The sequence below is a fragment of the Homo sapiens genome, chromosome 15 (genome assembly GCF_000001405.40).
Source record: "Homo sapiens chromosome 15, GRCh38.p14 Primary Assembly".
In the NCBI taxonomy this organism is placed as follows: Eukaryota; Metazoa; Chordata; class Mammalia; order Primates; family Hominidae; genus Homo; species Homo sapiens.
The window spans coordinates 36,951,519-36,977,094 of NC_000015.10; the positions used below are offsets into that span (position 1 = coordinate 36,951,519).

At 36.1% G+C, this 25,576-nt stretch overlaps 1 protein-coding gene and 1 non-coding gene across 10 annotated transcripts in view; both read right to left on the minus strand.

Moving 5' to 3' along the window:
* Positions 1–25,576, minus strand: part of MEIS2 (Meis homeobox 2) — a 212,108-nt gene that overhangs the window by 62,315 nt on the left and 124,217 nt on the right. The window lies entirely within an intron of this gene.
* MIR8063 (microRNA 8063) lies at positions 21,303–21,383 on the minus strand. Its single transcript, NR_107030.1, has one exon. It is a non-coding gene; the product is annotated as a microRNA 8063 (primary transcript).

Consider the following 25,576-nt stretch of genomic DNA (forward strand, 5'->3'; position numbering starts at 1 on the left):
AGATTTTATTCTTCAGGTATTTCATCTTCTATAATAGCGTACATTATCCAAAATGCGCACAATTACTTATTAGCAAACCCAAATGCCATTAGGTTAAACAAAATCCCCTGTATAGCAAAAGGGGTTAACTAGATTTGTATTAATATAGAAGCCAGGCTTTTAATATTCTGCAAATGTTAACAAAGAAAGATGATAATGTTGAGTTAATATGGGTTAAGCATAAAATGAAAATAAATTTTTCTGATTGCGAGGTGTTGACACTTTTTTGGCTAGGGCCTCCAGCCTGTTCCTGAAAGCTGTGTAATTACAGAAGGCTTTTCCCCTCCTTTCCCCCTCCTGCTTCGAGTCTACCCACATTAGTAATGACCCCTTCACTGCTTCAAAAACCACTAATGGTCTTCAGCACGGGCAAGAAAAATGAACAGGATAAATTGGAATCCACAGTCAGTAATTTGCATCCTATGAGGCTGCTTTGGTCACTCACACTCATTCCTGGTCATCAATCGTTGCCTGTCAGGTGCTGCACTCTGCCACCATGACAAATACTCCTCCTAACACTCTGATTCGTCCAAACAATGTAATTGTCCTCCAGTCTCCTTTTGGTAATGGAGATAATGAATGACTGCACAAACAAGAAGGATTGCTCATCACTGACGCCAGTGTGGCTTCAAACTGGAAAAGGCCTGGAGTACAAATTTTAATGGACTGAAAACACTGGTTGGGGTGGGAGGGGCGGTGGCAAAAAAAATGTAAAAATCCTTTCTATTATGGCATTTTCCTGCCAAATTCAGGGGAGTTGCACCCTTTGACTTTTTGACCCTCCAAGATTTTTAGAGCCTAGGTTTATAGGTTATTTACCCAACAGAAATATATTTTGCAAATAGCACAAATTAAAATGAAAATAAGGATGCATCACAAGAGTATCTAGATCTGCATTGGTAATGTCTTCCAGTGTGCTGTTTCTTTATGCAGTGTTTTTGATCTTTTTTGTGTGTTTAGTCTTGCTCACTGTTCACTGTTGTGATGCATTTGTCCAAGGCAGTTTTGACAAAATGTGGGTTGTAGAGTCTGTCTGTCTGTCTCTCTCTCTGTGTGTGTGTGTGTGTGTGTGTGTGTGTGTGTGTGTGTGTGCATGTGTGTTTAAGCGAGAGAGAGAGAAGGTTTAGATGAAATAAAGGTTTAGGGTGTAAGCAGAATAGTTGAAATGGGAGATTACTGGAGAGCCAATTCCTTCAAGTTTGATTGTAAATTTTGTAAATTCTGATTGAATAACAATAATTCTTTCCAGTGTTTTATTAGAAATTTAGTCAAATGGCCACAGAATTACATAAACAGTGCATTTTATCTTGGGAATCCCTGAGCTGTACTTTCACTATGAAGGCAGTTGCAAATTCCATCCACAATCATTAAAAAAATTGGTACCTTACCAAAATTCACCTTGCACAGATGGCTTTTTTTTTAATTAATAGGGAAGACCATAATAACTTTAACTTATTTAAATAATGGTCTGTGGTTTTTGAACATTCATGATTCCATGCCCCTTTTATACATGGGGTGGACTGTTTACCTCAAAGTGCTCTGGCAATCAGCCACTATATTTCTAAAATTAAAAAGGGGATTGAAAACAATCAGCTTTCAGAGGAATTGGAACCATGACAATGTGTTTTGGATTAATTTACAAATATATGTATACATTTAAGGCCAAACTGTGGAACTAGAGTATTTCTACTACATGATCTATCATATGCATTCTTCTGCTTTATTAGAACAGACATCCTATTGAAATAATAAACATGGGAAGCCTTCACTTCTTCTTTGATGTATATTACTAAATGTCTGACTGGCTCAAATTTAAAATAAACTTTGGTATGCTTGCACTTGAAAACTGGAAGTAGACCACAAGCAATAATTTGTTGTCAGTTTCCATATTCTTGGACTAAAGCTATAGTTTAGTCTGTTCACTGTTGGGGGCCAACCCACTCTAGTCCAGTGGCCCAGAGGTGGCTCAACTTACTCATAAGAGCACACGTCATTGTAACCTGATAGCAATGATTAGGATTCCCCTCATCAAGAAAGAGCCAGCATAGGTTAAACTTTTTCACATCTCGAAAGAATTCTAAAGCCACTGTTGAATAGAAGTCAATCACAACAATCCTCTAACTTTGAATATCAACTGACAACTGTTCAAAAAGCTAAGAAGACATGTATGGCTTATGACTTCACGTAGATAGAAAATGTATTGTAATTACCATTCTTCTAAGGACTCATTTGAAAGCAAGCTATCTTTATTCAAGATAGTGACCTTAGGCCTTCTTCTTTTTAATTTTCCTTTTGGGGTTAACTAGGTTTGTCAAGTACATGGAAATAGATCTACAATATCCTTGGAATACATCACTGGGACTTTTTATGGGTGAACCACCTAATAGTCAACTTCTTTTGTGATTAACCCCTCTGTGATGATATCCAAACTGAAACCAATTTATCATAAACTTTATTCTGTGTTAAAAGAATTTATATTGATGTTTTGAAATTTTAAGTGATACCTCAAATCACCTCATAAATTAGATATGTACAATGAATGAAAAAGCTAGTATCTGGAAGGCTAAAAATTTGGAATTAACCTAAATGTCTATCAACTGGATGACAGTTAAATAAAATGTGAGGTTCTCATGAAAAGGTTGTCCCCATATATTATTGAGTAAAAAAAGCAAGTTGTAGAACAATATGTATCATTTATTTCTGATTAATAAATAAATAAAATATACACATATCTATGCTTGTAGCGCAAAAAAAATCTGGAAAAATATACACTGAATCATGTTGTGTAGGGCATCGAGTAGAAACTTTTTGTTTATATACTCCTATATTGTCTATGTGTGTACTGCTTTAAATAATTTTAAAAATATAATATCAATTTTAAAATTATAATTAATTGTAATTATATATAATTATATAAATTAATTATAAATTAAATATAAATTAACTATAATTTATATACTTCATATCTTTAAGAAACTATAGTCACTTAACTTTTTTATACAATGAGATATTCTCTTGCATTGTGGTAACTCTTTCATGGACATTTTTTAAAGCAAGACATCTCCAAGATCAGTTCTGCCTCTTAAGTTACCTTCCTACCCTGTAAGTCTGACTCACTTGCTGGTCTACAAAGCTGACCAGATGAGTGCTGACTGAACAATGCACAATTTGTCAAGTTACTTCTGTGATAGTGTAATACAATCATTTAGATAATGGTCAAGTAACTTGTTGGGTAGAGTCTTAGTTTGAGTACATGCGTGGAAACTGATCATTATGCATGGAAAGTGATCATTATGATGACCACTTCCTTTTCTTTGCTCCCCTCCAAGGCATATATTTTATAGAGTTAATCCAGGTGACCTTCATTTTGATGATGCCACTCATTCATGAAACCCTCTAAGTAATTTCCCTAATGTGGATAATAAAAATGCATTGGGCAGATATCATTTATTGATCTAGGACTATGCTTACTAAAATAGGGTACAGGCAGACATGCCAAGGACTTAAGCCCTGAATAAATAAACGCATCTTCCTGGAATGCCAAACTTATTCAATGGTCCTTAATTTAATACCTTTTTCTTTTTTTAATACCTTTTTATTCTGTAAACAAGAATTCCTATGCTATGAATAGAATATATATTTTCGTGAATTTTGAAGATAAAACAAGAAACAATTAAGATATTTTAAACCAATCCCATCCTTGTAGTGGAGGACAATCACCTTTCCACTAAATTCCCATAGCAATTTACTTGGTATTCATAATTTTTAGCTTTTCATTGTCATGCTTTATTTATATCTCTGTTAAGTATAACTTCCTCAAGGTAAAGCCTTGGGATTTTTAACTTTTGTATTTCTCCCCCATTCTTTCTCAGTGTCTCTAAATATTTGTAGAAAGAATGAAAAAAATTAGACATAAGTTCTCATTCAAGCTTTGTTACTTTAAACAAGACTGTGCTTGGGACGCAGTCTCTGTTATGGTAAAATGAGAGAAGGTTAACAAAGATATACATGGGATATAAAACACCTATAGAAGTTGTAATAACAAGGTTTGTGATGCTTAATTTTGAATCTCTCTGACTCTCTTTCTCTGACAAACATATACACAACCCTCTCAAGTTGTCTGAGCTTCTAGCCAGTACATCAGGATGTAGTAAAAATCCTTTGCTATTCTACTGCCAAGCTAACTCCTGTTTCTACCTGAAGCACTTCTGCATGAAACAGTATGTATCTCTTGATTTGTGTTTCTATATTCAAATTTCTATATTTTCTGGATGTCTCATCCTTGTCTCTAGCTGTTGAAATCAGAACCACAAAACATTAAGAGTCAAAAGATTTTGGGGCCGGGTGCGGTGGCTCATGCCTGTAATCTCAGCACTTTGGGAGGCTGAGGTGGGTGGATTAAGAGGTCAGGAGATCGAGCCCATCCTGGCTAACACGGTGAAACCCCGTTTCTACTAAAAATACAAAAAAAAAAAAAAAAAAAAAAAAAATTAGCCGGGCGTGGTGGCGGGCGCCTGTAGTCCAGCTACTCGGGAGGCTGAGGCAGGAGAATGGCGTGAACCCGGGAGGCGGAGCTTGCAGTGAGCCGAGCGACTCAGTCCAGCCTGGGCGACAGAGCAAAACTCCATCTCAAAAAAAAAAAAAAAAAAAAAAGAGTCCAAAGATTTTTGGACAGAACTTGATCTGAGACCTAATTTATGTAAATAAGGAAACCGAGGCTCACAAGGCTTAAATAATCTACATCAGGTCATATAAATTGGCTTTGGTAAGAGTTGGGATAACCACCTGCTATCCTAACATTTAGTGGAGGACTTTTCCACTCTAACATTAATATTTTTAATTGAAATACCACTTCCCCTTTCTTTTTGATAAGAGTGCCCTGATTTTAATTTAGGGATGTAATCAGTGGTGGCTAAGTGACTCAAGTTTAGCCAGTCAACACAGATAATCATGCTGTTTGCATTAAAGATGGAACCCAAGTTAGGTTAATGGGAGTCAGTTATGAAACTGTTAAAAGTGTTGTTTTTTCACTGGGGTTACTAAGTCAGTAAAATGTGTGCCTGGAGTTACTAATGGCTATTATTGTCACTGAATGAAGAGAACTTGATTGAGAATGAAGCTCATGCAGACAAAAGCAGAGCCAACAGATACAGAAAATATATTCCTAACATCGTTTCTACACCTATAAACTTTACCTAAAAGTAACCACCTTTTACCTTTCAGTCACTTCAGCCAATAAATTAGTTCTGAATAATAAACATAGACCGATTTGGATTATGTGGACCTTTTTCAGTTTATTCCCTTTTCCCCTCCAGCTAGAAATGATTGTTAAAAAAAAAAAAAAAAAAAAAGGAGAAGCATGAGGAGGAAAAGGAGGAGGAAGAAGAAAAAGGAAAAGAATAAAAAAGAAATGATTCATTTTGCTTTAATTTCTATAGCAATACAGATTCTGGTCAAATAGCAAAAACTTTAGAATTGAAGATTTTTTAAAAGTTTATCAGAGTAGTGATCCCAATAGATTTTTTAAATCATAAAATTTGAAAGATAGAGGCTTTAAGCATGCAATGTACATGAAAGTGTGAACATTTTGTATCTAAATTCGAAAAGCAAATGACAAGGTGGAATTTTAACAATGTTTCTTAAAATGACCATAGAGAGTAAATTTTAGCATGTTTTTTGTGTAAAGTTGAAACTCTAAAGTGAAATGAATATAAATTTGATAATCAAAATACCTGAAAAACACATTTAGACTCAATAACCTTACAGCAACCAAAGGCTGTGATAATGAAAAATAATACAAAAACTATTGCAATCATCTGGCTAATTTAGGGTTATTTGAATTCAGTAAAATTCCCTTACCCGGCTGCTGAAGGAGAGTATATTTCAAATGGTGTGGGATCAAAACATTCCCCTCCATTTCCACGATTCTGGCATGTCCAAGCCCTACTAATCCATCATAGTTCATTCAAACAGTGGAAAACCCTCCCAAGCCAGAAGTAGTCACTCCCCACAAACTTCCACAGTGCTTTCTTTCCTCCTCTCTTGTGTTTTTATTCACTTCATATTGTCTTTTATGTATACATGTGCACCTGTGTCACATCCCTCACTGGACTGCAAATCATTTGAGGGCAGAGTTAAAGAATTATTTAACCTCAAACTTTCTACAGCACTTAGCTCAGTATTTCCTACAGAACAAGTGTTCAATACATACTTGTTACTGAATGCATTAGTTCTGAAATTGGTGCTGTTTCCTGACAGAAAGGACTGGCTGTGCCACAGATAAGATGCATAAGTACTCAGATGAATATGGAGAGATTGAGACAATCATTTAACTGTTTTATGAACACAATATTCGGATATTTGAAAACATCTCTGAATTTTTTACTTTTCATCCAGATGTTTGGTGTTATGGAAATGCAGGCTTCACATTCAAATTAGTAATGTTTTTTAATTTAATGGCAGATGTATATTTGGGAGGAGGGGAAAGTGACCATTTCAGGAAGATTCACTTCCATTTGAGTTTACATGGAAGTAAATAGATTGAATTATAATAATAGCCTCCTATAGAATTCAGAAAAGGTTTGAGAGATGTTAATAATTGTCAGATCCTAAGAAATTAAAATGTTTGGTGGATACTGAGAGCCACAGTGGGAAGGCCTCATTAAAAAGAGCAAAGAGAAAAGCATACTCTCTTCTGTAGATAAGCTAAAGGAATACTGAATGAGCCTGATGGATTATCATCCAAAGATTTTAAGAACAGTTATTAAATTTATTATTAAGATGTAGATAAAATAGAAAAGCGGAGAAGGAATGTCTTAAGACACCAAAGTTAATGACTAAAAGGAAAAAAGGTGAGTACCTTAGGATAAGGAGAAACAAAAACATCTGCAAGGAGAAATGTTACATATACATATTCTAACAGAATCAAGTGAGTTTATATGAATGGCAGTGATGGAATTAAGTGATGGTCCGATACCACCAACACTCATTTTACCTCTAAACTTCCAAAAAGGCAACAAAAATATTGCAGATAAGATTCAGAATTTCAAGCATAACAAATATAATTATTTTCCTATTGACTGAGACTTTAAAGCTGAGCACAATCTTATTTTGAATATAACAGAAATATATTCCCAAGGCTAGAGAAAGATAATTTTTATTTAACATTTGTTAGGATGCTCCCATGAGCTGCTTGGCCATGCATGTTATGCTGCCTACATGGCTAATGGGTAATCTTACTAAATGAGCCAAAAGCCACAAATAAGGCCTTGACTCATTTAACAATCATTTCACATTTCCACACTATGACCAAATTAATATTTTATGGGGCCACTCAATTCTACGGCCAGACTACTTTTCCAAAAAATTGAATTTTGTACTTATTTATTTTATGGGTCATTTGTTGAAATAGATTTCAAAACAGGTTTAGGCTATTTAGATTTTTCAGTGAACTGCAAAAGAAAAACTCAGATTCAGAGTTTTAGACCTAGAGAGGATATTAGCGGTCATCTAACTCAAACTTCTTATTTTATGCCTAACAAAACTGAGGTTGACGGAGGCAAAATGGCTTGGCCAAACCTCGCTGGCTTTCCTCTCTTTTAAGATGTCCCTGATTTCTCCAGTGAAAACAAATTTCACACACATGATCTCAGAGAACACTCTTATGGAACATCTTGTTTCTACCTAGGAATTATAGATGCCAATATCCAGATTTTTTTCCTGCAAGTTACGTAACACCCATATCCTACGTCTTTCTTTGCCACCCTATCTTTCCCCGTTTGCCACACTGCATTACAAATGCTTGCCTGTTTGTCTGTCTTCCCTATTAGACCATATGTGCCTTGAGAGTAGAGACTGGCTATCCGTACTTTACTACCAGAAGCTAGTTCACTGCCTGGCATTTAAGAGGTAACCAATAAATACGTGTTGAACTAATCAAGTTTGAAAAGGTGACAAGTGAATTCTTTGCATCCCCAAAATACTATTTTAAAATTACAGAAAGGGAAGTTAGTGGAGGTAAAAGCCAGATAGAAAATGAGAAGGAAGATTTAGGAACACAAAGAGGCAGAAAATACCAACTTTTTATCCACATCAAAATTGAAATAGTGAAAATCAGCTCTTACTTAAAACAAGAATAAAACTTTATACATGTAAAGAACTGGGAAGAAATGGCAAATCCAGATGGTGACAATGACACACTATGGAAAAGAAATAAATGCATTGGACTTTTCATTAACATTTAATTTATTCATTTTAAATAGGCTAAGGGATTGCTTTAAAACAAGAGTCTGAAGTATGTAGCAGAGAGTTATATAATGTCTAGACAACTGAGATACTTGTATCTAATCTTATGACAACAATCCTACTTAACAGGTCCAGACACAGTGCCTTATGAGACTGAGTTAGAAGGAAATGAGGATTAGTGATTAGTCCATTACAACATTTCTTTAGTAACAGGAAAAAAAAGTCTAGGTGAAAAAAATCTGGGGCAAATATTAAGGAATTATTAAGCAACATTAAAAGCTATAATAAATAATTTCAGTATGTCCTGTTCAATTTTACTTGCACAGATTATGCTATGAATAATTTTGTCTGATTTACCATAAGAATGCACTGAAGGTCTAGTTGGACAACAGATAGCTAACATGGATTTAAAGAGGAAGAGGTTGTTTAAAGAAGCTGAGGGTTATCTTTTTTTTTTTCAAAAAGGTTATTATCTCTAGAGTAAGCAATGGAAATGTGGATAGTATCTTCTTTGCTCATCTCAGAGTATGGGATAACAGAATGGGGTTAATGATAAGTTTAAAAGTTATAAAAACAAGAAGGAAGTAGCTGTAAACTAATGACTTCTTGTGATAGACAGGAGTGGTTAAAAGGAGAACCTTCGTAGTGACTGACCATTTCTTGCACCATATTATGGAGAAAGTCTCAATCAGGAGGGCTAGGAAACACAACCCCTTAATAAGAGTTAGTTCTTTCATTTTTAAAGTTCACCAAGACAGAAAACTCTAAGGTATAAAACAACAGCATTAGGAACTTGGCTGAAAGGTTCAGAACTACTTTCTTTTTCTAACATACACAGAGAGCTTCTTTCTGCATATAAATGAGTGTTTCATACAAGTAGACACTTAGACGAACACCCTAAGAAAGGCAGGCTCAAAACAGCTGATATTTTTTCTGTTTAATTATAGTCTCATATTCTTAAAATGTTTCAGAATTTATCTGACTTTTAAAAACACATGAGAAGCATCATTACCAGTCTACCACAAAATATGACAAAGTAAAACAAGATATCACCCAAGTGTTTACCTTAGTTTTGTTCTGCATTGTACTAGTAAATAAAGCAATCAACTATAATAACCAACCATAATAAGAAAGCTCTTACCCAGGCCATCAAAAAAGGTCAGTTAGCAGTATTTGTTTTGGAACTCCCCACAGTTTTATCTTATCAATTTGTTTTTCCTTCCCTTTTTTTTAGAACAGCCTCTGCAGTGAAAGTTAAACTAAATCAAGATGGAGACAGAGCAAGGTACTGCCACAACATTGTCTATCTTTGGGCCCCATTACTATTTTACCTAAACTACAATGCATGAATACATTAAATATAAAGTATTTCTGAGCATATAAAAGAAAATCACTTTGTGAGTTTCTAATTTGTATATAGACGAAATCAACTGATTAGTAAATGGAGCACCTTCAAAATGTCTTTTCATCATACCTGTGAACATGTATTTTTCTGGTAATTATAAGATCATAAACCATCTAATCTACACCATAACCAACCCCCCCAAAATAAATATACATATCTTCATGATCTGGATATCTACGGACTAAACATTCACTCGTTCAAGACAAAAGTGATTAAATACTAAAATATCAAACCACTTGATAGTATTTAACCTTTTGCCACCATAATGGAATGTAATGCTGAGTAAATACAAATAAATTGGAAACTTACGGACTAAAAGAAAGTACAGACATAAAATTAAAAGTATTCTTGGCAAAAAATAAGGCTACATGCTGATAATATGTTTATAGTTTACTTAAATATTAATATGTGGCTTTTTTTTCCTAATTTGGACAAAAAAATCAGAAAATATTCAGAAAAGGCTTTTCTTAGCTTGGGTAAACAAGTTGACCTCAGCAGAAAATAGTCTAATCATCTCTCTACTATATTTGCTTCTATTCATCAACTGGACAAAAGAAAGAGAAATAATGGTGGACATATTTAAAATATAAACATGTGAAGGTATACACCAGCCATATTTTTTTAATCCATTTAAGCAGTAAGATTTGATAGAAAGCAATAGCTATTTCTTATTCCTCCTGATTTGTATATTAGAAATTAGTAGTATATCTTTATATTCTTAGAAATAAATAATTCTGTATTTGCAAAAAAATATTTCTTACAAGGATTTAGGAAGCCCTGAAAATGGCTGTCTCCACAAAAACAGAACCTTAAAAGGACAAATTTTTAATGCAGCTAAATTCAACTGGTATGAACCACTATGGCCAGCAACTGCTTTGATTAGTTGAGCATTCATTCTGACAGCTGGTGCCTGTTAAATAGTTTGAATTGTTGGTTGCTGTTAAACAATTGTTTTTCTGAATGATGGTCAAAACTCTCTAGCATTTCTGATGCCTGGTATGTTGTGGCTTTCGCAGAAGAACTTAAGTTTGACCCATATCCAGCATAATGTGAATGGCATTCATATATCAGAATAAGGTGAGTTAACCAGTTACCCATAGAGTATGATGCTTTTTCATCTGAAACAAGGTATCTGTGGGGGATTGCTTCCAGGACTCCCTCAGACACCAAAATCTGAGGATGTTCAAGTCCCTAATATAAAATGGTGTAGTATTTGCATATAACCTATGCACATCCTCCTGTATACTTTAAATGATCTCTAGATTACTTATAATTCCTAATAGAATGTAAATGCTATGTAAATAGTTATACTACACTTTTTATTTGCATTTTTTTTTTACTGTCGCAGTGTTATTTTTGTTGTCTTTTTTTTCATGAGTATTTTCAATATGCAATTGGTTGAGTCCCCAGATGTGGAACCCGCAGACATAAAGGTCCGACTGTAGCCTGAAGTACTGTTTAAAGGTATCTTGGCTACTCATGTGTTACTGACTGAATCATATACATGATTAAAATATTTAATTTAAATACCTTTATTTCAGTAATTGGAAATATAACCTCATGCAACAGAAGCTGAGTGGGTTTCATTCTCTAAGTTAGCAAAACACTTAAGGATTGCCACATGGCAAGAAATAAGCCAGAAATGGCCTTTAGACTCTAAGCAGAAAATCATTAAGCAAATCTAAGATACTATTTGTATGTATGTACCATGAAAATATTGATTATGCTTTATCTAAATGAAGACATTTACTGACAGGAGGTAAGAGAGGATAGTTTTTAGCAAGAGATTAATAGGAGGAATGAAAATTATCTCAAAGAGATCAAAAGTGTGGATAGAAATCACCATTCAACTCAGGACTCTGGCTCCCCATATAAGAGTGAAACTTGGCCAGGTGCTGTGGCTCACGCCTGTAATCCCAACACTTTGGGAGGCTGAGGTGGGCAGATCACCTGAGGCCAGGAGTTCGAGACCAGCCTGGCCAACATGGTGAAACCCCAAGTCTACTAAAAATACAAAAAAAAATTTAGCCGGGCATGGTGGCAGGCACCTGTAATCCTAGCTACCAGGGAGGCTGAGGCAGGAGAATCGCTTGAACCTGGGACGCAGAGTTTGCAGTGAGCCGCGATTGCGCCACTGCACTCCAGCCCGGGTGACAGTGCGAGACTCCATCTCAAAAAAAAAAAAAAAAGAGTGAAACTTGGATTTGACCTGGATACTGAGGAAACTATACTGACAAACTCTCCTCCATTTAGCACCAAGTCTGACCTAGCAGAAACTAAAGGAAAGACTTTGTCAGTTCAGGTATTTGTAGGTGTAAAATTTTCATACAGTGTAGAGCACAAACAGGAAATTAAGGAAGAAATGCATAAGCCACTATTTTATAAAGTCTTCATCTTCTTTCCAACCTAACTAGCCAATTTTGAAATGGCCTGGGAACATACTACTACAAGGAATGAATAAACCTATCTTCATTTTATTGTTGTGGTATTTGTACAATTCTACGAACATTGATGGATAGCTGCCTCATCCCAGGCGAGATCTTTAACAAGTCAGGTGACTGGAGCAATGTAGAAACAGAGATTGAAATTAGCATTTTGGCATTTGACTGGTTATGCTTTCTTTTAATTCTCTCCCATAAGTTCCTGAACACATTGTCTGTTTTCATTTTAAGTGAATGGAATGCTAAAGATGTTATAGAAGAACCTAGAACTACACTCTCTGGAGACATTACTTTCTTTTGGACATTTAGGACTATTAGCCCTAAGTTATTGTAAGCATAAAACCTGTCAGCAAGGGAATTCAACATAGACTGTGCTTTACTGAAGTAAATGCAAATTGAAATATCCTAAGTTGAATCATGAAGGGAATTTGCTGTTCGCTAAAGTGAGTCCTTTTGTAAGATAAATAACTTTCTTGCAAAACAATTAATACTCCCCAAAGGACGAATGCTTTTCTGATTTCTTTATGAACAAATCTAGATGTTTACAAAAAAATGCCAAATGAAACATTCTGGTGGATTTACTAATAAGCACTTGGATTTTCTCTTCTGTGTTCCGTTCATTGCTGTATGTCCAGCTTCTTAGGAAAAAGTCTAGGAGAGCAGTATAGCTCAATAAGTATTTTGTAAGGGAATGAATATTTCTTCAGTGCTTGACCTGAGTCTGAAACAGGGAATGTCTCATTTAGAGTGCACAAGGAAAGCAAGGGAAATGTTAGTCTTTACCGGTAATTCTCAAATTAGCAGTTAGAACCACTTAGTTGGGAGGAGACTAATGACAAGGGGAGGGAAAAATTCTGCATGTTACAGATTTAAAAGCATATTCTCTATCAATTCATTTACATTAATGAAAATCTGGATTTTTTTCATGAGAAATTATATATTTCTATTAGCCCATATTGATTCAGAAAGAAGGGGAAAAACCTGTAGAAAGCCCCATAGAACTTGTCATAATAGTCTGGGCAGAAGTACATGACTGTCATTCCAAGGCAGTAACACTTTCCATAATTTAATACCCTAGTGGATAAACATTTGAATTTAAAGTGTAGATACATTTTGGAAACACTCAACCAACTCAGGAAACACATGTGCTATGGTGTCATCAGGTCACACTTCAGGTGGAGCTCTGGGAAATTTTTTGGAAAATACTGGCAGAAATAGGTTGGAAGGAGGGAGAGAGAACACATAAATCCATTAGCAATTGCATTTATAGCTCTTTCCATCTGTCATTTTCAAAGCATTTTTCTAATATTAGCTGCTGAAGTTCTAAGTGCACATGGCTCATATCCATTGTCTCATCTCACTTGATAAAGGTAAAGAACCGAACGCAGGAAGCATTTGTGACTTATTACTTGTTTGTGATCCAGGCAGAATTAAATGCAAGAACTTAAGCTTCGAGTTCTCAATTTCTTTCCCTATGTTGAAAATCCATGAGGCTAACTACTTCCTAGGAATAATTATTTGTCTTTTAACAAAATCTTCATTCTTATTCTTCATATAGATTAGGGAGAAACTTTGGATATGAAAACATTGGTGATGTTACCCATTCTAATATAATCTATTACACTGAAGATTTGATTATACCAACTCAAGGCAAGCAAGGTCAACTTACAGATAAAATAATTATGTGATATTGGCAAGATGTGATTAATTATATGAGGTCTACAGTTGCCATCAAAACAATGCAAGGCAATGAATTTCTAAGGTATTTTAGTTTTGTGTAAGATTTAGTAATTTAACTAAACTCATACCTCTCTGTCCCTCCAGAATGTAAGTGATACTATATCTGCTCATGGACAACACAAGTGGCCTATAACATTTAACAAAATTGCCTAAAGAAATTAAAAGCCAATAACTGTAGGATGAATATGGAAGTCCTGAATAGTTCCACCATTAGGTCAGTTAATTTAAACTTTAAAATATTTATATGTCTCCCACCAGAACATAAGCTTCTTGAAGAAACTTGAAAGAAACAATTAGGAAAATTTCATGGAGCAAACTTTTCCCTAGCCCAGGCTATAGTTGCACAAGAGAGTTGGGGATCTAGAAACTTCTGTGGCTAATGTCTGCAACACACTGCGATAATGACCAGGAGACTAACTAGTCATTCAAGTGAGAAAAAGCTTTGACAAGTCCAAGAAAAAAAGAGCTCACTGTCATTCATTCTGGGAAATTAAAACAAAAACAAAAACTTATAAAGAAATTCAGGCTATATCTCACGAGGGGAAGAAGAAACTAAAAAAGATTAAGAGACAAAGTGAGCTTATACACATTAGAATAATATATGCTCAAATCTCTGGAGAAACTCTATTATATCACAATTAATGCAGAAACTGCAATCAAGCCAGGCTAATTTCAATAGATTCCAAGTTTTGAACAGTTCCTAGGCTATCCAAGTGGGAATTTGGCCAGGACGCTGGGGTTAATAATTCATTTTGAGGAGGGCTAATTCTTTGGGAAGCAGCCCACTCTGCAGGAGGAAACATTTGGCCCATATGAGCAAATTCGCTCTTTGAGATCACCATCTATTAGCTCCACAAGACACCATTTTTAGGGGGAGAAGGGGGAAGTAAGTTCACTTTCTCATACATATAGAAATATTTATCATGTTTTCAATAAATATATATTAATGTCAGAGAAATGGCTCAAGCATACACATTCTCAAGGAATAATTTTACAGTAACTTTTAATTACCATGATCTTAGTATCGCATCACCAGACGAGTATTATGGCTAAAAGTAGGGGCTTTGGAATCAGACGGTCCTGGCTTTTAATCTTGGCTTGGCAGATTACTTACTGTAAAACCTTGAAGGAGATACTGAATCACCCCAGGACTTGAGTTCTTCGTTTATAAAATAGGAAAATTAATGGTACCTACCTCATAGAGTTCTTATGAGGTTTAAATAAGTCATGTATTAATTGACCAAATGGATATTGAGTGCCAGGCACTGTTACAGGAGAGAAAAATCTCTGACCTCATGGAATTTATATTCTGGCAAGGAGTGAAGGTACTAAATGAAAAATACAGAATCTCTCTGGGGGTAACAAACTTCATGAAGACAAACAAGGCACTATACAGAGATAGAAAATAACTGGGGATGCTGCTCTTTTATGTAGGGTAGCCAGGGAGAGCATTTTGAGAAGGTGACATTTGATCATAGACAAGTGTAGTCAGAGCCAGCTAGGAAGGCAGGATGGCAAGGAGCCCAGAGCCCTACTGCAGAGTGAGAGGGGCTCAGTGGAAGGATGGGGGCTGGAGAAGTAGCTGGTGCCAGACCATCCTGGGCCTGTGGGTCATGTTAAAGGATGTAAGTACTAACATGGTGTCTGGCACATAGTAATTAAGCACATAATAAATAGTAGCTATTTATTTATTCATACTGGGTAAATACAGTCATAAATCAGAATCATTCCTTGTTTCCATTGCTCTGTCATGTAATGGGAGTTTTCTACATCAATCCTGTCATCCTCACATAGCGATATCCTAACACATTTTAAACGCTCATGATATCACTAGTATTTGTAAATATAAATATTTTGTGATGTGTGGTTATTCAGCATCTTATTTTCCTGTTGGTGGGTCTTAAAAGTGATTTTTTAAAAGGGTATGTTAATTGAATGAGGTGAGATAGGATGCAAAAAAGAATCTTCAGCTGGGACACACATAGAGGGAAGATGGATTAGGACAGTGTCCTTTGCATTTTCCCCAAGAACACCAGAATGCAGGTATTTTCCTTATACTAAGCTGATTTGGAAGAAAGTCTTTAACTGATCTTCATGTCTCTAAATTGACTACAAATTGGCCCCAGCAGTCACCACCTAGCAAGTACACAAGACATCAAATGGATCATTCATACACTTCCCAAAACCGGTATAGCTCCATGTCACCAATAAAACAGATTCTTGGCCTGCACTCTAAGGCCTTTCACAATATCCCAAACTATCTTTCCAAATTTATATCCCACTACTCTGCAACACAAATATAAAATCCTAACCAAACCACATTGTCTTCTCTATTTTATTCCTCTATTATTGCCACCAAAACCCCTTCCATCTTGCAGATATTCAAAATCTCACCATTCTTTCTCTCCTCCCCTTTTTCTATACACTGTGTTTCCCAGTCCCTCTATACCTCTCCTCCCCATGAATTGGGCATGACCATGCAACTGATCACTAGACAAAGGACTGTGATTAAGGGTATGTGTGCTATTTTGGGGGCTGAAGAATTCACTTGCTGCTATGAACTCCCCTAGCCCTCTCTATTGCCGCTGCAATCATGGAGGTACTTGTTAAGAGTGTGGTGTCACAAAGTGGAAGAAACTTTACATGCTGAGCTTGTATAAGGAGGACAGCCAGCCTCAGAGAATAGCCTGAACTCACCACTGATTTTGTGTGCCCAAGAAACAACTCTTTTGTGTTAAGCCACTGAGGTTTTTGGTGCTATTTGTCGAAGCAGCGTAACAAATCCTATTCTGATTGATATACATTTCTTCAAGATCCAGCTTCTTGATCACTACTTTGAAGTGATTTTTTCTTTCTCTGTGCTTCTAAAAAAATCATACGGAGAAAATTTTCTTTAGATGCTGGTTAGAAATTTCTTTGTAGGAAGAATCAGCTCTATTGAAAAGGATCTTTGATAAGCCTGTGGGTTGAAAAATAGGGGTTGAAATAAATCCCCCAGGCCTGTGTTTCTAATGGCAGGCAAGTTTCTTGTCAAAGCAGGAAGCTACTCAGCCTGAATTGCTGAGAAGCTGTGTTGAGAGCTGCCTAGGAGAAGAGGTGGAGAGGCGATTAAAGTTAAGAGGCGAGGCCTGGGAAGAGATTGCATAAAGGGAGTTTTTCAAGTGATACGTGTGCTATGTGATGTGACACTTCCCCTTGACACTAAAAGTCTTCAGCAAAACTAGAGAATTCACAAAATCCTTGATATGACTGGATTTCTTAAGGAAGCTGATGAAGTGGCTGAATTTTGCATCAAGGCTATGTTGGTTTAAAAGCAATTCACTTGTGCAGTCAAAGGAATCAGCTGATATCTGGGTCACACTTCATTTATATTATTCATTTAGGAGAGATATACATTATAGTACTTGCATTATAGAAACTGGGGGGTAAAGAGTAAGGTTCTCAATAAAATGAACCATATTTCACGCAACTCTTTAATTTGCATGTGCCTAGCTCAGAACTGTATAGTTGAGGATCTCAGTAAAAAAGTATCTATTGAAGAGATGATTGCTGCAGATCAAAACCAGTCCTCCTCACTTCGCTTTCTCATCTTGAAACGTAAACCGGCCATCATTTAGTTCTAGTTTATTTGGATTTTTTGTTAAAGACATTTGAAGAATATTCTATGACATTGCAGTCATTTTTACTTGTTAAGTGGTAGCAAGTATTTTAAGCCTTCATCAGCCACAACCTTCCTAATGGGACATTGTTGTATTTCTTCTCTTAGTTTGCACTCTTAACTGCATTTAATTATCTGAATTTTCTCAGGATGAAGAAAAAGAGCTCCCATAAAGGGTGAGAATTGAGAGGAAATGTAGATAAAAATGAATTTCACTATCTCACTTCCAGTTTATCTACTCTGTCATCAACATTAAAGTCCTGTTTTTGTCTCTTCAGAAAACCACATGACATTTGAGAATCTTCTCCTCTACTGCACAAATTTCAAAACCATCTGGAACACCTTCCTTCCTTCCTTCTCTCCACCTCCCTATTCGTCCATCCTTTTCTTCAAACACGAAAGTGTTTTTTCCTTATTTGGCTCACTCTTCCTATGTTTCTGAGCTCTTACATTCTATCTTAATTCTTTAGTTATTTAAAGGTATTGTTTATATGAGAACAAACTTATACATACATAGGAAAATTTGAAATAAATAATATTTACAGATAAATCCTCTGTAGTGTATATGAAAATTAAGAATCAACTTTTCTGACTTCTAATTTCAAATACTAATGAAAAGTAAAAGGGCAAAGATCAAACCAGTATATGTACACAGGAGGAAGCACTAATACAATACATATAAATCTACTTTTAAATTAGTATGTTTGCATTCTCAGTCAAGAAGACTCATGTCTGCTCCTTGTTAGTAAATTAAACTCACAATTACAATCTTTGAAGATCTTCCCATAATGAAAAACAATGTAAATTGCAGCTCCTCGTAACTTAAGACTTGAGAACAATGTCTTTTTGGCTTTTTTTTTCTTTTCGCAAAAAAAGTACAGATATAAGAAAACTATACAGGGCCCTTGTCTTCAAATATTTAATACTTCATTTACTTTTTATAGCTGGAGAATTCTGGATTATTGACACTGACTCTGTAAATAACCTAGCTATATAGACAGTCACGTTTACAAAGATTGAATGCCTGGTTAAAATGCTCAAATATAATATAGTTTTGTTTAAAAATGCAAACATTTGGTCAGGCGCGGTGGCTCACGCTTGTAATCCCAGCACTTTGGGAGGCCAAGGCGGGAGGATCATGAGGTCAGGAGATCCGGACCATCCTGGCTAACATGGTGAAACCCCGTCTCTACTAAAAATACAAAAAAATTAGCCAGGCGTGGTGGCGGGCGCCTGTAGTCCCAGCTACTCGGGAGGCTGAGGCAGGAGAATGGCGTGAACCCGGGAGGCGGAGCTTGCAGTGAGCCGAGATCGCGCCACTGCACTCCAGCCTGGGCGACAGAGCAAGACTCCGTCTCAAAAAAAAAAAAAAGTGCAAACATTTGTGTGTGTGTGTCTCATGCACACGCACACACACTCTGCAGGAAATTAAAGAGCGCCAATATTTGAAAAATCTCCCTACAAGAAATCAGAGAGTGCCCACGATTTGAAAGAAAATCTGGATTTCAACATTATCCTTTGCTGTACAAATCAGTGGAAGTGTCCACATTACTGTCTCCAACATAGCACAAGGAAAGTGATTCCCCTCCCAGACAAGAGGTTTCTGACACTTGTCTTTATTGCCCCATCATAAATTCATAAAGGGATGTCCGCTGTAACCAGTTGGCAAGTTCACTGCATAAACATCAACACCAATTTAATGACTGTGTACACATCGTAAACTAGAGAATCTTTATACAAAGAAATCAGATAAATCAAACATGAGCTGAGGCTAAGGAGAAAGCAATTAAAGCTTTAGGTTAAGGTGGCTGCGGGAGGGCACTGTGTCACGTTAGAGCAGAGAACAGAAAATGTGTTAATACAACTGCAGTATGTATAATTAAATTAATTAGTAATATAAAATGTGTTTAAAGCAACATCTCATCAACAGATTAATAGATAAGAAACTTTTAGAAGTTTTAATTTTCCCATTGTATGTGTTCAAAGAATAGGAAAAAAAAAACCCTCTGAAATTTCCTAAGGGGTTGATAAAAATAAAATTGCTGTGGTGGTGGGCTTGGGGGGGTGGGGGATGTAAAGTCGATTTACCTGCCTCTGGCTAGTAACAGGAAAAAGGAATAATCAGAACATAAAAACCTGTTTGGCCATATTTCATCTCCTTATAGCATATTGAAATGTTTTGGCGCCAACTCATCTCATTCTAATACCTCGAAGGCTGGTATAAAACACCTTTAAGGCACATTGTTTTCTGAGCAATTATTTAGAGTCAATGTCTAAGAAATGCTTAAGCATCACCTGGTAATACAAATTTTAAAGTTATATTTAAAACACCCAAGGAGGTTTTTACTGAACAAAAATTAGATTGCCTATATGCCAAAGCTCCTCATCAACTGAAAGCTGGAAGCTAAATTTGGCCGTAAGAAACTGGCTTGGAACTTCAGAAGTTCTGGGGCCAAATTCAGCCCTGTATTACTTGTATGCCTTGTTACATTAAAAAAAAAAAAAAAAAAAAAAAAAAAGGGCTGTTCCAGTGATAGCAAGCATTCCATTTATTCATCTCAAAAGCAATAAGATCCTAGAATGGAGCCTTCATAACACAAAATGCTTTTAAGTTTTCCCTGAGGGGAACACAATATACACAATTCATGTAAAAAGAAGAAAAATGAAAGCTAAGTATTTCAGTTAAGGGTCAGAAATCAATATTTCCTTAACAGCCTAAGCAACATGCATTACTCTTAATACAAATACTCAGAGACTTTACATTCTTCATAAAGGGAGATTTTCACATAATTGGGGTTGAAAGTGGCAGAATATGCTCTCCCAACTTAGTTTCTATTGCTGCAAAATGGAAAAGAATATATTTGGACAGCATTTCACTGATCCCTGTCATCCTCGGTTAAAACTTCTTACCTAAATGTCCAAGTGTGGAGCAACACGTAACTAAATTTTAATACATCTCAATGGAATATGATAAAGACATTGCAATATCAATAGGAGAACAATATAGTAACAGAAACTATAAATGTAAAACTAACTTTATTGAAGAAATGAGAATATGGTATTTTTCAGGTGGCAAAATTTTTTCATGATGTTCCGTTATGCTGTCAATAAAAAGTTTTAAAAAAGAAAAACTTCTGCCTGAGTAGCACAAAAGTAAGTTATGATAAGATGTAGTAGGAAGAGAATGAACCTTAAGAGATAAAGTGTAACTAAAAGGACTGAGTTTAAAAAAACAAACATCCTGACTAGCTGGTGAGCATTAACATTAGTCCTCCTTCTGTTCTCCAGAATGGAGCCAGAGTGATCCCTGCAAAGGACCCGTGTGATTTTGTCACTCTACTGCTTGGCATGCTTCAGTGGCTTTCCATTATTTTCAGGCTGAAGACGAAAATGTTTATCATGGCCTTCAAGGTACCCAATGATCTGGTCTCGAACTCCTGACCTCAAGTGATCCGCCCACCTTGGCCTCCCAAAGTGCTGGGATTACAGGTGTGAGCCACCGCACCTGGCCAATAGAAACTATTTTTAAAAATTCATTTATGTGTCTTATGCCTTTTAAAATATTTTTTGTCCTGTTTTCTCCTTCTTTCAATAGTGTACTCTGATATGATTCAAAGGAACCCCAGGGACCAACACCTCTCCTGGTTTCCAAAAGACCTTAATTTTACTACAGTTTAAGATTCAAGTGTATAACAAATTCTTTTTTTCTAAAGCAGAATTTAGAGGAATCAGTTGTGACAATTCATAGAGATACACTTTTTTTTTTCTGTGCATGAAAAGCAGTAAAGCCCCGACTCCTGATTTTGAAACCAATTTCTCATATCAAAAGTCTACACATCTGTTGAAACTGCCTCTATTGCTTAGGACTAAGAAACAATTTCTTTGTATGGGCTGACTGAACAACTATCTTTTAAATCTCTTAAGTATGTACTAGAATTAGTCTGTGTTTGCATAGACATCTTTTACTTGTCGATATACACCAACACAGCTGTGGAAGAAAGACTAAGCTTTAGTTTCCACTTGGCCATCGGAAACTAAAGTCACTTAATCTCTCTAAGCCTCAGTTTGCTCATCTATAAAATAGGACAATAATACCTGCTTTACAGGTATTTGGGAGGATTAAGTAAGAAAATGATAGAATCATGCTGGATAAGCTGTAGAGCATTTACAAATAGAAAACATAATCAAGATTCCACTTAGCTTGAGGATTCAGACACAGAGTTTTGCAGAGTGGCCAAGTCACAAAAGGGCTCTTCAAAGGCTTCTACTCTCTGGTGTGACACTGGCACAACACCTATTGCCCCGGTAGAAAGACCTTTATTTCAAAATGTTTCACTAGGAAACAGTTAAAAGCTGTTCTTTGGTTAAGCGCACTGACTCTTATTTGGATGCTGCTGCCTCTTTAAAGCTTAGATCTGCATTCTTCTAATGGAGAAAAGGAGAGTAGGCATAAAACTATAGAATAAAGAGCCTGGAACTTAGTAGGTGTTATAAAACATTGGTTTAAAAAAGAAAACATGAGTGAATAAACCCAAAGCGTTCATCTATTTTAAATTATCCGAATTGCCATGGTAAAATACAAGTTGTAATTAGAAGAATCAGGTTTGGTGCTTTGCACATAATAAGAGTTGAAAAAATAAAGAGGATGACTGGAGTAATGACGTTCAAATAAGAAGTTAAAATATTAACACTAAAAAACTGTAACTGAACTTTTAATTAAAAAAACCCTAAAAACTAATGACATTGTTTTCTTCTTATTTAAAAAAAAAAGCCAGTATTCCACTTGAAATGTTCGTGAGATATACAAATCCACTGATTTCCAAAATTAACCTTATGATATTTAAAGATGATATATGCCTTGTTGTCTATGGATACCTGCCAGAACTTGTACTTACGTATTTCTAAACACTTAATTCAGCAATATTTCACATCAATTTCCCCCTCGATTTTTCTAGCTATCATGCCTTGAGAGCAGTTCCTATCTTTGACCTTGAAAACTCTCAATAAAAATCAGTCACATTTCCATTTCCTAGAAATTCGAAGAGTGTCACCAAACTTTCAGGTACAGATAAATTCTTGTCTGGTTATCCTGTATTGTGAAATGCCAGCTCTTCATTATTTCAGAACATTCTATATCAGGGCTGATATTGAATCTATAATTTTGTGTTTTAAAACACCAAACATCATAGTGAAATTCAAAAAATGAATTTCAGAATTCTGAGTGTTCATATTTCAAGCTCCTACATAGTTCGTTTATTTTTTCTTTCCATCGAGCCACAGAAGTTGACCCCAGTAAGACCATTAAGTCCACTGATTTCATTAGTAATATTTTTGTTCACACTCCAAAAATCAAATTGTTCATATTCCAAAAATTAAATAATTTGGTTTATCAACATTTCAATGATTTTCCATATTCTCCCAAATTATTTGAGAGCTATGACATACCACGTTAACATTTACATATGAAAAACAGAAGCAAAAAAGCAATTTTCCTAATAGAAGGCATTTAATCACGTTGAAATAAGATCTTACCTTACAGGGCTGCCCCTCAGCCCACCTTATACTTTCTGGATGTTTAAGTCTGTGGCTTTGACTTACATGGGTTAACGTCCTCTGTAAGCTAAATCCAGTATCAGATGGATATGGCATGAGGAACCAGCCAGCATGAGGAACCAGGTCCTACTGTTAAATCTGCGTGCCATGTTCAGTTGAGAACAAAACAGTCTTTCCCTAGTCTCTGGTTTCTCTGGCGTTTTGGGGTGAGAAAATAACTGAGTTTAGGATAGACACACTCATCAGAATTGTTCTTGAAACCCTTTGCATTTCAATCAGTGCAAAATGCTTTTTAAATATTCCTGCTAACACGTGCCCAAGAGAGAAGAGTCGGTCTCATATTTTCCCAAAGATCAAAATATCAAGAGATGGGAAATCCCTCCATAGAAAACCTTATTATCAAGGCTAAGGCAAGCACCTGGGGAATTAATAGCTGACATACCTCATTTTAAACACCTACCATATGTTCATGGAAAATATAGCCACGTTACTTATCACTTTCTGTTTTCCTTTCATTGGTTTATGTTTTGCCTTGAATAAAAACTGCATGAAAACATAGTCTTATGTTACCAGGTATGTATCTCCTCCGTGGAATAGCTCAATAACATTTTTAGTGTTTTATTTATGCAAGCAAAAATGCTCCTCAAATCAGTGCAGCTTGAACTGCTTGAAGAATGCTTTTTGAATTCCAGAATACTGAAGTTTTTTCTAACATCACTCAGGTACAGATACTTCCCAAAAGGCCTGTGACTGCCTTTTCCCCTTTTTGTTTTTTAAATCCCATATCTGTGTTTCAGTTTTCTTTAAATTTATTCATAGTAGAATCATGAAACTTCTTAAGGCCAGGCGGTGGGTTTATAAAAAATAAGGGTTTTTTTTTTTTTTTCAGAGTTCCATGAATTTACTGAACGTCTACCATGTGCTAAGCGCTCCTCACATACACCTGCATCAATTTTTCCCTTCTTGACAACAGTCTGAGAAGGTAAGTGATGTGCTTAGGTCACAAAGCTAGTGAGTGGTGGAGCTGGGAATCTAACGAGGTTTTGGTTTTTGTTTTTACTTCCAACTGTTTGTTGTTTTGGCTGGCACACAATAGACGATGTTCATGTGCACAGCCACTCCCAGGGTGAGTCCAAGGTGAGATGACATTAAGAAAGCAAATGTGTAGGCAGGAGGAATAATTTCAAGAGATCTATCGTACAGCATGGTGACTACAGTCAAAAACAATGTATCGTATACTTGAAAATTGCTGAGAGCAAATTTTAAGAATTATCACCACAATAAAAATAAAGTATGTGAGGGAATGCATATATTAATTGGTGGGTTTAGCCATTCCACAATGTATATGTATTTCAAAACATGATGTACACTGTAAATATATACAATTTTTATTTGTCAATTACAAAATAAACAATTTTTTAAAGTTTCTACCAACACTTTATAAGTAAGGGAAATTAAAAGGAAAAGACAAGTAATTATAAAGAGTTTTATTTTATTTTTTTTTGAGACAGAGTCTCGCTCTGTCACCCAGGCTGGAGTGCAGTGGCGCGATCTCGGCTCCCTGCAACCTCCGCCTCTCGGGTTCAAGCAACTCTCCTGCCTCATCCTCCCACATAGCTGGGATTACAGGCGGCCACCACCATGCCCAGCTAATTTTTTGTATTTTTAGTAGAGACGGGGTTTCACCATGTTGGCCAGGCTGGTCTCGAACTCCTGACCTTGTGATTCACCCGCCTTGGCCTCCCAAAGTGCTGGGATTACAGGCGTGAGCCACCGCGCCTGGCCTATAAAGAGATTTTTTTAAAAAGAAAGCAAATGGAAATGTAAGTGGGTAAGAGTGGCTTCTTCTGGGCAGAACTATATCCATATGTATATTATATTATATTATTATATGTATATAATTATATTATTATATGTATACTTATACATATATATCATTGGAAACATCAGTTCTTAAATACTATGACACACCACAACTGACAGAGACTGAAGGCACAGGTGCTATATCTCTGTGCCTAGGAACCTAGACAAATAGCAGCAGATCTAAGGGTTGATACTGAATTGCTTATACATTTGCAGAAAAAAATTAACAGATTAATAGAAAATGATCATTTTTGTTTGTTTTCTAATATGATCAATGGAGACATGCAATTCAATATTTACTATCCACCTACTATGGGCAAGGACTGTAAAGAGGAGTAAAACACAATCCCTGCCTTCGAAAACTTAAAAACTCAAATAGGGGCCAGGCGCAGGGGCTCACGCCTGTAATCCCAGCACTTTGGGATGCCAAGGCAGGCGGATCACCTGAAGTCGGGAGTTCGAGACCAGCCTGACCAACATGGAGAAACCCCATCTCTACTAAAAATACAAAAAAATTAGCTGGGCATGGTGGCGCATGCCTCTAATCCCAGCTACTCAGGAGGCTGAGGCAGGAGAATCGTTTGAACCTGGGAGGTGGAGGTTGCAGTGAGCCACGATTGTGGGATTGCACTC